Here is a 17,727-nt window from a genome sequence, read left to right as displayed (position 1 = left end):
AGTGATTATTTTGTAACCACAATATGCTATTTGTACAGCAAACAAGCCTAAAGCTGCTTTGAATTTCCAGCAGCTCAGCTGGTATCCTGTTGTTATTAACAGTTGTAAACTCAATTACAATTTTACAATTAATTTTAAAGTAATGATTTGTGACAAAAATTCTAGTAGTGAAAAATACACAGTGAATCTACCTTCTCACCTCAATCTTTAGCCATGGCAATACTAATTTCTGATTTAGAATTTTTTAAAATTATCTACATATATAAGCATAAGTGAGTGTGGGAGGGCATGTGTGTATCTACATATACACACTGAGTATATGCACCTATTCTTACCTGACTTTTCTTTTCACCAACTTAATGTGGTTTTTTCTTTCTTTATTTATTTTTTTATTTTTTGAGACAGAGTCTTACTCTGTTGCCCAGGCTGGAGTGCAGTGGTACAATCTCGGCTCACTGCAAGCTCCGCCTCCCGGCTTCACACCATTCTCCTGCCTCAGCCTCCCGAGTAGCTGAGACTACAGGCGCCCAACCATGCCTGGCTAATTTTTGTATTTTTAGTAGAGACAGGGTTTCACCTTGTTAGCCAGGATGGTCTCGATCTCCTGACCTCGTGATCTGCCCGCCTCGGCCTCCCAAAGTGCTGGGATTACAGGTGAGAGCCACTGCACCCGGCCAATGTGTTAACAATAGTTTTGTAAAACATACTAATTCATGCCCATAGCCACTTTTCTATTCTCTTCCAGTGAAACTGCTTCAAAGAGTTGTATATCCTTGCAGTATTCAGTTTCTTTCCTGCTCTCTCGATGTTACTCCAAGTCAGGAGTTCTCATGACTCCACTGAACTGTCATCAGTGTCCTCCTTGCCACTAAATTCATTTTTTCAGTTTTCAGGTATTTTTTACTTTTCTCATTCTCTCCAGTATCCAGTCTGTTAGCCATACATATCAGCTGTATGGTCAAAATGTGTCTATGATCTCCACCTTCCCATATTCAAAGCCACCATTATCTCTTGTCTGATTTACTGCGTGAGTTTCTAGCTGCTCTTCTTGTATCCACACTTGCTCTTCCAGAGTCTCCAAATATTATTCCCCTCTAAAATGTATCTTACTTATTTTGTATTTTGTTGATTGTCTTTCTCATTTATCTTAGAACCTAAACTCAATGAAGGCAGATTTTTTTTTTTTTTTTCTGCTGGGTTCATTGCTGCATCCCTAGTCACATAACTAATGAAATAATTACATTGTCTAATAAAATAAGTACAAAAAGAAGACATCGTTTCTATGAAAATTAGGTGAATGCTTTGTTAACATTCAATTAATGTAAATTGGGGGAAAAAAAGAACTGATGAAAACAACTGTCGAAGTTTGGAGAATCCATAAAAACACTCCACAGGGTTTTTCACTGAAATGGCTTTGCAAGAATTTTAAGTTCTGACTCTATTCTGGAGGAGCCAAATTGGAAGTAGTATGGGATGCTTAATTGGGGTTGCTTTTGCTTCGAATATGACACAGAACTCCAGTCAATGCACCTGTGTTCAAATAAAAAGCCTTGACTCTATGTCAAAACATTGGTAAATGAATACAAATTTATATTTTTAAATAAGATGTTTAAAGTATCATTTTTATGATTTGTTGTTCTAAACACTGTTAGAGGCATTGAATTTTATCCTCCATTAAGGCTTACTGTAGGGCATCTGATGACTTGGTATCAGTAAAGCCAGAATACCTAAACTGATGGAATTGAATAGGATTCTACTTTATGGGTGCAGTGTACCTTATTTTACTTCTCTATTTATGCTTATTTAAGTTATTTACAGCTTTTAAAATAAAGAATACTGCAAATCTTTGCACATGCATAATTGTATTGTGTGTAAATATATCTGTAGGATAAGTTTCTATCAGCGATATTGTTGCAGTTTATTTAGACAGCTTTAGAACTGATTGACTTTTGCTTAGGATTTACGGGCTAGTCAGAATTTGCTTTGCAATATTTAGACTTGGTGTTGTCAATTTTATCAGCTAGCTTTTTTACTCTACACTTGTACTTAAAATAATTGAAATTTATGTAGAAAAAAGTATGTTTATGATTGTGAATCTGGAATTCTGTAGCCGAAGCACCCACTTCCCAATTGAATAATTGTTTTTATAACCTTACTTTAAGGATTTTTTTAATTTAGAAAAAGTTTTTGATAAAGAGAGATATCTTAGACACATAGCTATCATATTAGAACAGACCGTACCTCCTTTCTGCTCTGCCAAGAATCTGTGCTTCCTAAAGATCAATCCAGGGCATTTGGCAGCTATAGGAGATGTAACTAATCTCAAAAAGAATGACAGTGACCACATTTACAGTTTATACTGTTCTTCTTTTCATGTCTTTTGGCTATTAAAAATTATATTTATATAAATATAAACATTTTTAGGTTATGTAAATAATTCACAAAGTTTTCTGAATTCGCTTTTAGATTAAATTTTTAATATTTTCCCCATTTTGATAGTAAGAAAATGAATTGTAAATAAAATTTCCATTACGTTTCTCTATCCTTGAAGTTTCTGTCTTGGGTAATACATATCTTGTGATTCATGAACTGCAAAGAAAAAAAATCCACAGGATTTTGTCATCAGCTACATTCTATGAGCATTTTCAGCCAGATTTCAGTACTTGTTTAGATTTATATTATTTTGGGAGAATCTTAATTTGTAGTTAAAAAATTAAATATGTTGCAAAACCAATTATAAACTTCCTGTTAATGTTGAACTTTTGCTAGGGAAAGATTCTAAGGGGAATTTCCTTTATCCTTTTAAAGGGATAAATATTATTCAAATCACCTTAGTAACAGTTGGACCACAGTCATGCAATTAGTTTAGTATCACTTTCTAAGTTAGATGATGTTGGTCTGGAGTTGACAACATTGATTTTCTGTGAAGTTTACAATTTATTATTTTTTAAATAAGGGGGAAATTTTGCTTTTTAAAACTTTTGCAATTTATCACTTAGTTTACGAGGCAAAATAGATTTCACCATTTTGAGAACTGTGAGTTATTTTCTATGTGAAGAATATATGTGGTACCATTGTTTTTGATTGGGTCTCATAGTGCACATTATGTAAAAGAAAACAAATCTTACTGTCTTTTTTATGATACAGCAAAGTGAAGACTGAGGATCCTGAGTGTGCATAGTGCATGCATGTTATGTGTTATATGTGTATGCATACATATGTGTATATATATAGTTTTACAAGTTTAAAATAATATCAGTGACTTGAAAATTGTAAGGGCTTACCAGATAATCTCTTTGTAGGCCTTGGAGTAGCATTGTTTTTTTTTTTTTTTTCCTTTGGTTATTGATGGGTAATAATGCTCTGGTAAATCAGTCTTTTTTTTTTTTTTGAGATGGAGTTTCGCTCTTGTTGCCCAGGCTGGAGTGCAATGGTGCAATCTTTGCTCACTGCAACCTCTGTCTCCCGGGTTCAAGTGATTCTTCTGCCTCAGCCTCCTGAGTGGCTGGGATTACAGGCATGTGTCACCACGCCCAGCTAAATTTTTTTTTTTTTTTGAGATGGATTTTTGCTCTTGTTGCTCCGGCTGGAGTGCAATGGTGCAATCTTGGCTCACTGCAACCTCTACCTCTCAGGTTCAAGCAATTCTCCTGCCGTAGACTCCGGAGTGGCTGAGATTACAGGCACCCGCCATCACACCCGACTAATTTTTGTGGTTTTAGTAGAGACAGGGTAATACCATGTTGGTCAGGCTGGTCTTGAACTCCTGACCTCAGGCAATCCACCCGCCTCAGCCTCCCAAAGTGCTGGAATTACAGGCATGAGCCACCACGCCCAGCCTAATTTTGTATTTTTAGTAGAGATGGGGTTTTATCATATTGGTCAGGCTGGTCTCGAACTCCTCACCTCAGGTGATCCATCCGCCTCAGCCTCCCAAAGTGTTGGGATTATAGGCATGATCCACCACGCCCGGCCTGGTAAGTCAGTCTTAACCTTAGTTACTTCACCCTAAGACAGAGCTGGGTAGAAATCAGAAGACAAGAATTAGGAAAAAAGGAAGAGGCAGTGACCCATCTTAAGGTTTAGACTGTATTGTTTGATTGCGAGTAAATTAAAGCCTTTCCTTTTTTGTATGCTTATAGACCTCAGGGGTCACATTCTGTTCCTGAGAATAGTAGCTACCATTGGCAATGAAGTATGTGTGCATACATCCTGGATCTAATTAGGTGGTTGTGCTGCTTCCATATTTTTGGAACATTATTCTGACTTTATTTGTTCTATTTGTAGATAAGAACATTCAGAGGAACACATCTCTCCCCATGTAATTATCTCATTTAGCATTTTGCCTACTCAGAGGGCATGGCTAAATGTTTTAGGTACAGGGAAAAGCTGACTTTGGTGGCAGTTCTTTATACTGTCTTCTCAAATTAAGAGGGTCCTCTATTCAGGAATGTTTCCTGCATAACGAATAGACATTCCTTGAAGCATGATGACCCCCCACCCACTGCATTTGAATGTAGAGCAACATCTTACATGGAAACAGTGATAGTATAGGAAACACAAAATAACGTCAAATAAACTCTAATTAATAGCTTCACAAATTCAAGAAGACACTGTATTGACTAAATTAGTACATATTACTATGCAAAAGTATCATTCAGAGAACAGTGTTCCTGAAAATAAAAAAATCTGATCGCCTGCCCTCCTTTATCCATTACTAATAAACAGACAAACCAAAAGCCACTACCAAGTAGTGAAATGGATATAGCTAAAAATCAAATATTTGACCTTGAAAATAAGTCCACGATATCACCCAGGATACCAAATAAAAAGTAAAGTGTTAAAAATACAAATGAAAAATTAAGAGACATCAAGGATCCATCAATTTTTAAATGTAGATTCCCAAATATCCAACATTCATTGTAAAAGAAGTCTCAGATGAACAGAAACAATGGAAAGAAAATTACTCAAAGTAATAGGATATTTCCTTAATCTAAAGACGAATGTGAGACTATAGATAAAATTGCCAATCAAGGGCCAAGCAAGAATTATGAGCAAAGCCAAGACATTATATTCTAGTGATATCTGTGATCTCCCAAAGTTAATGAAAGACATTGTGACAGTTTCAGGTAGGAGAGGATGAGAAAAATATTTGGTTAATGGCCTAGGTTGGTAGCTAGCTAGCCAGATCCTTGTTCTTTCTTTCACTTATTTTTTTTATTCATTCAACAAATGTTTATAGAGCACTTACTATGTGCCAAAAATTTTGTTAGGTAATAATAGACACAGTGGAGTAAAAATAGTCTGATGACAGAAGTAAACAATAATCACATTATAAATAAAAATAAATTACACCTGTGATAACTTCTACCATGGAGTGTTTTATAGTGCTGAGAGCATATTACAAAGGGATTTTTGACTTAATCAGGGAAGGCATCCCAGAAGTAGCGGTAAGTAAAGTGTGAGTAGGAATTAGATTGCGAGGAGAGCAGGTAACATCCCAGGAAGAGAGAGCAAACACGTACAAAGGCCCATGGTTAGGGGGATTGTGATAGACTGAAAGGAATGGAAAAACTAATATGTCCAGAAAGCAGACATGCAGTGCAAGACAAAGCTTGGCGAGTAAGTAAGGACTCGTACTATGCAGGTGTTTTACACAAAAAGAATGGGAATCATACATCAGACTTCTCACCTGCAAGACTAAATACTAGAAGACAGTGTTCTGAGAGAAAATGATTTTAAGCTTATGCAAACTTTCTAGAAAGAATGCTCATGGATACACTCTAGAAAATGGGGGTGGGGGAGGGAGAAGAAAAGAGATTCCAAAAAAAAGATGTACGTTAGAAGAAACAATGTGCCACCTAGGTATGTAAAATAAGCAGCCCTCAGTGGAAGCTGAGAAGCAGGCCTAGAAATCAATGGGTTCGATTGGGTTAGTAAGTCAGCGGGCTGCAGGAAATGTCTTTGGGGATAAATTGTATAATTAAAAAGTTGGAAATACATCTGTGGCATGCTTCTGCTGTAATAAACTGTGTGTTTCTTATCTGTAACAAAAGAGAGAATAAAAAGAAAAAGCAGTTAGAAGTTCAAGGGAAAACAAAAATCTGTTCAAAAGTCATGGTGTTGAATCTGTTTTTTAGTAAGAGAATTAAGGGCATCACATTTATGATATCTAGTCACATGTTTGGGCTTATTCTTGACATTCTATTTACGTGTGTGCATTTCCTTGCTTTTGCTTCTGTCTTTTCTTTTCCTTCCTTTTGATAAATTGAGTTTTCTTTTCAAACTGTTTTGTTCTTCCTTCCTTTTTAAAAAATTTTTGTTTGTTTCTTTAGTGGTTTGAGTGGTACATCCAATATCTATTTTTAATAGTGGCTAACTTTAAATTTTAAAAACGTACTTTAAAAAATTCAAGATATAGGCCGGGCACGGTGGCTCATGGCTATATTCTTAGCACTTTGGGAGGCGAAGGTGGGCAGAACAGCTGAGGTCAGCAATTCAAGACCAGCCTGGCCAACATGGTGAAAGCCCAACTCTACTAAAAATACAAAAATTAGGCATGGTGGCGTGCACCTGTAATCCCTGCTATTCAGGAGACTGAGGCAAGGGAATCGCTTGAATCTGGGAGGCAGAGGTTGCAGTGAGCCAAGATCATGCCACTGCACTCCAGCCTGGATGACAGAGTGAGACTCAGTCTCAAGTAAAATAAAATAAAATTCAAGATATAATTCGGTTTCTACAGTAGCCCCCAAACAAGACAAAACTTTTAGCAAACTTTCTACTCTTCTGCCTCCTCTTCTTACCTTTTACTTAAGAAAAATCAAGACTTCTAGTTTCTTGTTGTTAAAATTTCTAAATTTATAAATATCTGAATATGAGTGAGTTGAATATATAAAAAGCACAAAAAGTAATACGGCAATCATCTAATGACCAAACATTAAAATCAAACATGCTAACATTTTACATAATTTGCTTCAGGTCTCTGAAAAGAATTGTAGATATAACCAAAGCACCGTCCCCTACTCCTTCCTCCTGCCTGTCATCTCAGAAGTTGTCCGGAAATTGCTGCTGCTTGTTCTCATTCATGTGCTTGCACTTTTATTATGTATCTGTGCACTCATTTAAAAAACCCTCACACTTAAAAATAATTTGGCCAGGTAATACAGGTTAAAATTATAGGATACAAATTCTGAACCTTCAAAAGTGTGTAGGAATTGTTCCACCATTCTAGAATTTGGTCTTCCAGGGTCTTCCTTATGCCCCTTTGAATGTCCTATAGCATCCATTTAAAGACCTTACACACGGTAGATGTTAATGTTTATTTTCCACCCGTAATTTAATGACATTTCTACTTATTAATTTTTCTTGTTTGGGATATATGTACTAGGCGCTTAGCTATGACTTGCTAATTCATCCAATGGAAGATACTGAGTGTCTGCTGTCGCCAGGCAATATTCTAGATTCCAGAGATACAGACATGAAAGAGGTAGCATTCCTTCCTTCATGAAGTTAATATTCTTGTTGAGGGAAGATAAAACAATAAACATGTAAACCAATAAATACAATAATTTTGGGTATAAATAAAGGATATATCATTTGGGTATATCAGCATGTGATGATAATAAAATGGGAGAATGTGGTGATGGTGGTGGGCTGTTGCTCTGGCTAGGATAACCAAGGATAGCCTTTTTAAGAAAGCGACATTTAATAAGTAAATAGACATAAAAAGCTGCAGAGAGAGTAATCCCAGCAGATGGATCTATAAATGCAAAGATCCTGAGACAGAAATGGGCTTGGTCTGTGTGACTGGAACCTCGTAAATGAGGAGCGAGTGGAAAGAGATGAGATCCAAGAAACTAGCAGGGCCAGTCATGTGTAGGGCATTATGGATAGCAGTAAGGATTTCAAGTAGGAAGACTTTGGAGGGTTTTAAGCAGGAGAGTGACTTAGTGCAAATTGATTTATGCTTGTTTTGTACAAGCTGGACTTTAGGGAAGCAGTGTGGAGGAAGAGGAATTGGTTAAGAGCCTGTTGCAATTGGCAGATAAAAGGTATTGCTCACTTGGCTAGGATGGTAGCAGTGGAGAAGTGGTTTTACCTGGCTTTTCAGCACCTGAATGGTCTGTAAGAATGGCACTAGCATTCAAGTCATTTCAATGTGGACTTTCCAAGGTACAGTTGCAGGATGAGAGTTAGAGTCTGTTGTAGGGTATGGAACTTGTACGTGCGCAATACACACTACTTAATGTTAAGGAGAGTACACCAGAGGGAAGGCAGCTTTGGCATTCTCTTGGGCACAGGAAAGTAGCATTGTGGTGATCAGGAGAGTCTAATGAAGCTAAAACTGTCACCCAGGAATGTTAAAAAGAGAACATAATGAGTATTCTGCTCTGCTTTAGAGCTCTGTATGGTGTTATTATCCTTCTCTAAAAGATAAATGTTGCTCTCAAGAGTGAGTAATGAAAATACTAGAGCACATCATACAATAAATGAAATCATGAAACTTTAAATGTATGCAACATGTGCTGTGACCAGGAAGGAATGGCAGTGTTGAACACCAAACTAGATGGAGTAAAATTGGTATCAGGGTGGAAATAATATAGAACAATAATACTGTGGAGATACCTCAGGTAAATTATATAGTTTCAATAGTCAGGAAAAAAGATTTTTTAATTAATCTGGGTTATTCTTTTAGAAAAAGCGTTAATCTCAAAAAGCCATCCACATACACCCCCATTATAATGAACCCTTAGCTGCAAGACTGGGGAAGAATAAGCTTTGCATCTGTGGCCACTTTTTCTGACATAGGCTCTGTTAAGATACATAGCATTGAAGGATTTCCTAGCTAACTATGTAGTATGTGTGTACCTTAATAGCAGAAATCACAACGTAACTACAGAGATGAACTAAAATTTGATTAGATTCTGGGATACCACGCTGCCTGACCTGAGGGAATAAACAATTTAGGGAAAACAGAAAAAGCAACTTAGGCACTCATTTATTTTCTCCCTTGATTCCCACCGCAGGTCTCTGAGATGGGACTGTTTCTGGGATCCTCATTTGAAAAACAAGAAGAGTGAGGCCACCTTGGGCACAGTGCTGTTGTAGAATTGATTTACCTTGACTTGTTTTGGATCTATGGGATGTCTGGTTCTTTTGTAAAAACACAACTTTGCCAGCCAGACTAGAAACGCTTTCTGTGTTTTTCATCAAAAATCTTGGACACTGTCTCTAGAGGTCTTCTCTGGCAAGGACTGTTTTCCTCTTTAACTTTGGTTCTTGCATTCCATATGTAAGCAAAGTTCAACTAGTTAGGAAAAAGTCATTCTAGAAAAAAAGACTGTAATTGTGAGACCAGATGGTAAGCATTATTCAGCTGATGAGGTTGGATAGATTTGAGGGAAGGTGTGGTAATATGATCTCGATCTGCAGCTGTGACCTGTTGTTCCAAAACAGCCTCATTCCTCCCTGCCTTTTGCGTCTGCATTCCAGCACCTCTCCCTCCATCTTTGTGGGCATTGGGGTTCTCACAGATTGCTTTGACAGATGCATCAGGGAGGAATAAAGCTTGTTCAAGGAAGAACAACCCACGGATCTGTTTTGAATATCCTCCACCCCATGTTACTTGTAATATTGGCAAATCAGGGGACAATATAACCACTTTTGTTCAGCGTGCTGTGAGACAGTTTCCCATGACACAAATTGCCATGAGCCTATTTAGATGTAATTAAGGCATTTCCATTAGATGTCTTGCAGGTACCTCAAACTAAACACATACTGAACCCAGCTCATCAGCTGTCTTCTTCTCCTTACCTCCCTTACAAAACACCAGTAAACATTTTCTCCTGTGTTTCCTCCTTCAACCAAAGTGAAAATTTAGAAGTCATTCTAGACTTCTCTGTCTCATCCATCTCATGGAGTCCGTCTCCTAAATACTTCTCCAGTCCTTCTATATCTCTTCCCAGTGCTGCTGTCCTGATTCTGGCTTTCATTATCTCTCTTCTGGAATTTGGAAATAGTTTTGCCTTTACTTTATTTTCTTCTTCCACTCTGTCACCAATGTTGTGTCTTAAATGAAAATCTGACCAGTAAGGCCAATGAGATTACAATCCCATAGTGGGAGGTGTGGGTGAAGGTCTTTATTTTTTAAAGAAGCTCTGCAGACTATTGTAATGTGTGGCTAGGGTTGAGAATGTATGCTGGACTGGACAAATTTCAAATAGCCAGATATACAAGACCTTTGTGACCTTGGACATCTTATCTTCTGCTACTTCTGTTTCTGATGTTACAATAAATAACCACACTTCTTCATCCTTTTTTTTTTTTTTTTTTTTTTTTGAGATGGAGTCTTGCTCTGTCACTCAGGCTGGAGTGTGGTGGTGTGAGCTTGGCTCACTGCAACCTCTGCCTCCTGGGTTCAAGTGATTCTCCTGCCTCAGCCTCCCAAGTAGCTGGGACCACAGGTGTGCGCCACCACGCCTGGCTAATTTTTGTATTTTTAGTAGAGATGCGGTTTCACCGTTGTTGGCCAGGCTGGTCTCAAACTCCTGACCTCAGGTGATCCACCCACCTCGGCCTCCCAAAGTGCTAGGATTACAGGCGTGAGCTCCCGCACCGGGCCCTTCCTCTTACTTTCATACTGTTGCATACCATTCATCGGTGTTGTGCCTGGGTTTGTGGGATTCTTCTATCAGAAATGTGCTGGAAATATACAAACTACTCAAAGCACTATGACTACTGAGTACTATATTTCATTCCCCATCTTGGTAGGTGATGGCATTGACCCATGAGAACCTCCAAAATGATTTGCTTCCCTATGTTGTCTCTCTATTCCCTCTTGTTATCTTCTTCATACCCAACTGCAAGTCCTAGGAATCTCTTTATAATCAGGATAGTATTGTCTCAGAGCCTTTTGACATGCCAGCTCTTTCTTGTCCAAAACACATTTTCACATTCTGCCCTTGGAGAATCTATCCTAGGGCTCTGCAACGCCAGCGTGCCACTCACGTAAGTCATGGTGGTCAGGTAGATGCACAGTTTATAGAGGGCTTTTACAAGTTGTATCTCAGTTTGATCCTCACTGTGCCATGTGGAGGAGGCAGGGAGCTATTATTTCTCCACTTCAGAGGTGCTGAGATGGAGGTGTTTTAACTCTTATCAACCTTTCAGGTGTACGCTGAACTCTCTGTAGATTACATGTTGATGGGGTCCACAATGCACATCTCAAGTCCTGTAACCTGATTGAATTATGGTTAGCTCCTTACTATTAAAGGGGTTTAGGTGTGGTTTATTATTGTTTTCAGAAGCTCAAGGGGAAATCCTTAATTTGAGCAAAATTTATTTCAGAATATCCATTCATTGTGGGTTAGGAACCTCATCCCTTACAATTTTCCAGCCCCCATTTTCGTCTTCTGTAGTGCATCCTCATCTTTTGGTCAGTTTGATCCTTGAGGCCTCTGTGAAATAGAAAGGAGGGGGAGGGGGGCGCAGAATTTCCATATGATTGGTTTTAGATGTTGATTTCGGAGGCCTGTACTGTGAGTCACTGAAATTATTGGATTGAGTCTTGAAGATCCAAACACAGAGTGTTGGGACTGTGTGGTTGGGCTTAATCCTAGTACAAAAACCAGTTCCTTTCAGTGAAGAAGATAAAGGAGAGGAATCCAGGTTCCTCAATGAAGCATCCATACATAGAAGCTCCTGTGTCAGGCTGTGGTGTTTCCCACTTCCTGCCTTCAGTCTAGCAGGGTTCCTTGCATTTCTTGGTCTAAAAGTAAGGCTTATGGGCTCTTTCTGGAAAGATCTTACACCTTTTAAATTTTAACATGGGAAGAAATTATAAACAACAAATGACAGTGTTTGAATTCTCTCACTTTTGAGCAAAGTCAAGCAGCTTAAGTATGAGAGAATAAAGATATTCCCTTCTGTTGCCCAGAAGGAGAAAAAGATCATTTTATTTAAAATCTAGCTATTGAGATGCATGTTCCTTGTGTCTAATCAAGTTCTGAATTTGAACTCAATTAGAGCTTTGATAAAAGGAAGGGGAAAGGAAACTTGAAAGAATGCTGTTCCATTCATGAAGGGACTGTGTGTTTTTAGTTTCCAAGTAAATGGCATAATGGGACCATGCATTTTCCATCCAAGCATTTTCCATCCTGAGAATAATTCCCTTCCTGGCTTCTCAATGAATAATGCATTATTTCTGAAACCCAAGAGGCATTCCTTTGATTTTCCTTTATGTTTAGCTTTCTGAGTGATTTTCAAGCAAGGAAATTCAAGGACTTGGAATGAATGCTTTATTAACATTTTTATTGAAGTTCAAATTGCTCCTTGGCTATTATCTCCTGATATTTGAAATATTTTTTTCTCTCCAAGGAAAGTCTAAGGTGTTGTATTTATTAGAAAATGAAGTACCTTGGCCAATCTTCAAAGTGAACAGCAGTTTAAAACCAATACACATTTGTGTTGTAGAACAAAGAGCTTTATGGGGGTACTTTTCTCCTTTATTTTCATTTCCCTGCTGAAAAGTTTCACAAAAGAAAGCTCAGATTCAAAAGTGGGCTGTTTGGAGACTAAATCTCATTTGTTTACATTTTGTGAAACTAATTCCTTGAGGCTGGACCAAATCCATGACCCCAGTCCAAGCCTGCATCCACCAAAGCCAGCGCCATTTAAATCTGAAGATGCAAATGCCCTTCTGGGGTTGCTCCTACTTCCGCTCTGCCTGATTACACATATGTAGCCTGCCTGATTACACATATGGGGCCCATTAGGTGAGGTGTAATGGGACACAGTGGTGCCCACCGCTGTTGGCTCATGTTCTTTCAGTAGAAGATCCCCAGCAGAGTCTGGAGTAACACAGTGGTAGGATTTAATGCTATTTTACAACCTCCATTTTCCTGGGATCCAAATGATGAGTGATTTCAGAAACTAAATGAAATAGAATTAAGCATCTCATCTATATTTTCATTCCTCTTACAGTTATAGTAAAATTGTAATGATTCAGAATAATTGGGGGAAGAAAGAGAACAAAGTTGATCTAAATTAGTAGAACATCTGAAATAGTAAATTTGGTTTAAAATATTTAATGTTATCATTTTCAAGATATAGAAATGTAATATTTTCTAGAGCTTGAACTCTGGAGGCAGCCTCTAAGAACAGAAACTCTGGGATTTTTCTGCTTTCCAGTACTGTGGCCTTGAGCCAGTTATATAAACTTTCTGGGTCTCAGTTCCTTCATCTGTACAATGGGGATATTAGTTTCTATGTCATATGGCTACTGTGAAAATTCAATAAATTATTACTGGTAAAGCATATAGGACAGCACTATGTGGGTAGTTGTTGAATAAAAATAAAACATAGATCTTGTCATTGAAAATCACAATTTCCAAACAGGCCCATGCTACTCAGCAGGTAATAATTATTATTGTTATTGTAGATACAGATTGAGTGATTATTTCCTTAACACTTGTTTAATCCATACAACAAACCTTATGAGGTGTAAATATAATCATCTGCATTTTCAGATGGGAAAATTAAGGAAAGAAAGTAGTTTGCCTAAGTTCACCCAGTTTATTACATGTCAAACAAAGATTTGGGCCCAGACAACCTGAATCCAGAAACTATGCCTTAATTAAACATTAAAGGACACTTATCATTCGTGCTTATCTTTTGCCTGAAAATAACACTGCTATTAAAAACCATGTTGTTATGTGAGGTGAAGTGTTTCCTGAATGCAGTTTTTCATATCTCAATTGCTTATCAAACTCTTTGTGTTTTGCTCAAAATAATAATCATCAATGTCTCATAATTGCTTGATTTTAGTAACGTCCAAAATAAAATTTTAAGTTGACTATCGTTAAATTTTTTCTGATTTTCTCAGGAAATGAGTATTTCATTTGCGACAATGGTGGCTTCCAACTTCAGTATTTTTATATTGAACTGAAATCATTTCACTTTATGGTCGCATGTTTTATAATATTTTTTCATTCTCTTTTTAAAAATCCTTCTGATCCCTATCCTTGTCCTTGTAGGGGCCTTTATCATCTGCTGGACTCCTGGATTGGTTTTGTTACTTCTAGACGTGTGCTGTCCACAGTGCGACGTGCTGGCCTATGAGAAATTCTTCCTTCTCCTTGCTGAATTCAACTCTGCCATGAACCCCATCATTTACTCCTACCGCGACAAAGAAATGAGCGCCACCTTTAGGCAGATCCTCTGCTGCCAGCGCAGTGAGAACCCCACCGGCCCCACAGAAGGCTCAGACCGCTCGGCTTCCTCCCTCAACCACACCATCTTGGCTGGAGTTCACAGCAATGACCACTCTGTGGTTTAGAACGGAAACTGAGATGAGGAACCAGCCGTCCTCTCTTGGAGGATAAACAGCCTCCCCCTACCCAATTGCCAGGGCAAGGTGGGGTGTGAGAGAGGAGAAAAGTCAACTCATGTACTTAAACACTAACCAATGACAGTATTTGTTCCTGGACCCCACAAGACTTGATATATATTGAAAATTAGCTTATGTGACAACCCTCATCTTGATCCCCATCCCTTCTGAAAGTAGGAAGTTGGAGCTCTTGCAATGGAATTCAAGAACAGACTCTGGAGTGTCCATTTAGACTACACTAACTAGACTTTTAAAAGATTTTGTGTGGTTTGGTGCAAGTCAGAATAAATTCTGGCTAGTTGAATCCACAACTTCATTTATATACAGGCTTCCCTTTTTTATTTTTAAAGGATACGTTTCACTTAATAAACACGTTTATGCCTATCAGCATGTTTGTGATGGATGAGACTATGGACTGCTTTTAAACTACCATAATTCCATTTTTTCCCTTACATAGGAAAACTGTAAGTTGGAATTATCTTTTGTTTAGAAAGCATGCATGTAATGTATGTATGCAGTATGCCTTACTTAAAAAGATTAAAAGGATACTAATGTTAAATCTTCTAGGAAATAGAACCTAGACTTCAAAGCCAGTATTTGTTTAGGTCATGAAGCAAACAATGCTCTAATCACAATATTAACTGTTTAATTAAAATGTTGTAACAAGTATAAAACAGGGAATGTAAGTTTATTACCAAAGTGATATGTATTCCAAAAAAGTCATAGAAGATGAAGCACTATAATATTGTTCCCATATATTTAAAATACCCAAGTACATTCTAATTACCAGTATATCAGAGGAAAATTTTCGTAGTCTTTGTAAAATAATATACTCATCATAGAAAACTTGAAAAATGCAGAAATGTATAAAAAAGCAAAAATGATTACTGATAATATCACAACCCAGAAGTAACCACCTTTAAAAAGCAACCCCCATGTATGCCTATATGTGTATTGTATACTTTTTTTACATAATTGGAGTCATACTGTAAACAGTTTTATAAGTAGATCTTTTTCATTGCAAAATTGCCACATTTTCTTATGGCATTAAAAATTTTACAAAAACATAATTTTAATGGCTATATTATATTCCATTTAATGGATGCAACTCAGTTTATTTAACCATTCCCATGTTGTTAACTATTTAGGTTGTTTCTAATTTTCATTATTATAAAGTTGCAGAAATTTGGTGTACATAAAACTGTCTCCATATAATTGATTATTAGGATATATTCCCATGAAGGATTCTTTTTTTAAAAAAATGTGAAATGTCATCTTGTACTTACACCTTTCATGAAAAGGGATTTCCTGCTTTTGTACTGCATGGGTGGCAGTTGTGAGGAAAAGCCAGTCAAATGACCTTTTTACAAAAGAAATGCAGTGGTCACTTCAGTTGAGAGTGACTTTTTAATACAACAAGATCAACTAGAAGAATTCAACTGTCTCAAGAATCAAGGTACCCCAATATATCTCGCAATTCCAAACTTTGTTTGAGGGACTCGTTATCCAGCTCTTGGTAGCCACACCTGCAATGTAAAATGGAAGAAAATGCAAAGAAACCAAATGTGCCGAGTGAATAAAGGATTGTCATATCAATTAGTGTGGGTCCATCTGTAGCAAATGGGTTGAGTGTGTCAGTATGTGGTTGGTTACTGTGTATTCGCCAGGAATCACCCCGATAGGCTGCCACCCTATTAGGTGATACCTGTTTAATATGTTGTCCAGGTAGACTAGTAGTTGCATCAGTTTGCTGTAACAAGTAACCAGTGAGGTAACACAGTGGTGAAGCAGGTCAGGGGAGGTCAGGAGGATGTCTGAGAGAAAGAAGTCCGGGAGATGAATGGCTGTCTAGGAAGGAGGATGTCAGTGCACGGTTAGTGTTTGAGCAGAGGGCAGACTTGTAAAGTACCTGTAGTGAAAAGAATGTGGGGACCCGATTAGCAGAAAGGTGTTTGCACGTACTTTATACAAAATACAGAATACTTTATATTGGAAGTGAAAGAAATGAACGTGGACTTTTACACATGTGCATATTTTTCTGGAGGCTATATGGATTATTTGAAATGAAAAGCATACTAATTGGACTTTAATAAATCATTTTCAATCAGCGTTTGGTAATGTGTGGTTCTGGTCAGTGCTATTTCTCTTGTTCGAGAGTCTTCCAGCTTGCATTGCGTGGGTGTTTTTCCCACTATGACCTCCTTTATTTCTCTGTAACAAGGGCTGCTTAACCCTGAGGCGGAGCAACCGTGTGCTCCCCCAGCCCACAACTGCTTTTTTTCAATCTGAGTAATAAATCTTGCCAATGTCTGGGAGGTGGTAGTTTATGTTCCTTGAGAGGAGACAATTTATTAAGATGGTACTTTAGCTCAACAGGATAACCGTTAGAGTGGGTTTCTTTTTGAAAGACTGATTTTACAAAAAATTTTGACAACTTTATGAAACACTCTCACTAGTTTATAAAGTCACGGTGGTATTTCTACTTATAGGTTTAATAACCAACAAGATAAAAGTTATATATATATCTTCCAATGATATAACCATTATAACATTTTCAGTATATCACTAAGGTGTTGGAAAAAGATAAAATATTTATTCAAGTGAATGTCTCAATGAGGATTTGGAAGAGAATTCTGAACCTTTAATTTTAGGTGGATATAAGATTGTTAGAAATCAAATATCTTTGAACTGGTCTTTACAAATTAGCCACCCCTCACATATATTCCTCTTTTTAAATTAGTGAAACCATAATTTTCAAGACCTAAAACCGCAACTAACGTATAATTAATGAATCTTATCAGCCTTCCTTTTCTCCTTCCCAGTTAGCTATTGTTTTAGGTTCCACTGTTCATCTTCCAGTTTATTCCAGAATTCTCTCAGCTTCTGAAATATTATATACTGCTTCTAGCTCCTTCCCTTAAAACCCAGAGTGTGCACTCATGCTAGGTAAAAACTGTAGAAACACCTCTTTTATCACATCCCTTCACTATAACAAAGTAAACAGAACATTTTAATGAAAAGAGCTTTTGAAACAAAGTGCTAATTGTTTCATATCAACTGAGCTTCACCTGATTCCAAACCCCATAAGAATTAGGGATTATTTGTGGGTTTAGAATGGTGGTTTGTGAATGAGGTTGGACACTGCATGATAGAAGAGATGTACGTAACTAGGAGCCAGGATGTATTGTTAATCTTCCTAAGCAAGGGCTGTTCATGTTCTAGCATTCACCTGCATCTTGTGTAGTCTACACAGCAAATTCTCTAATTCTTCCCTTAATGTTATAAAGCTCATATTCATAGACTATTAACAAAATATTAAATTATAAACTTAAATCATAAAT

At 37.4% G+C, this 17,727-nt stretch overlaps 1 protein-coding gene across 74 annotated transcripts in view; it reads left to right on the top strand.

Moving 5' to 3' along the window:
• Positions 1-16,493, top strand: part of LPAR1 (lysophosphatidic acid receptor 1) — a 165,736-nt gene extending 149,243 nt beyond the window's left edge. For all 74 annotated transcript variants that reach the window (NM_001387471.1, NM_001351397.2, NM_001387475.1 and 71 more), the window contains one exon: positions 14,034-16,493. In NM_001387471.1, the coding sequence (NP_001374400.1) occupies positions 14,034-14,335 (302 nt within the window). In that variant the 3' untranslated portion in view covers positions 14,336-16,493. The remainder of the gene's footprint in view (positions 1-14,033) is intronic.
• Positions 16,494-17,727: the final 1,234 nt, after the last annotated feature.

This window comes from Homo sapiens, chromosome 9, assembly GCF_000001405.40.
Source record: "Homo sapiens chromosome 9, GRCh38.p14 Primary Assembly".
In the NCBI taxonomy this organism is placed as follows: domain Eukaryota; kingdom Metazoa; phylum Chordata; class Mammalia; order Primates; family Hominidae; genus Homo; species Homo sapiens.
Note: the sequence above shows the minus strand (reverse complement) of the source record. Positions and strands in the feature narration are given on the sequence as shown.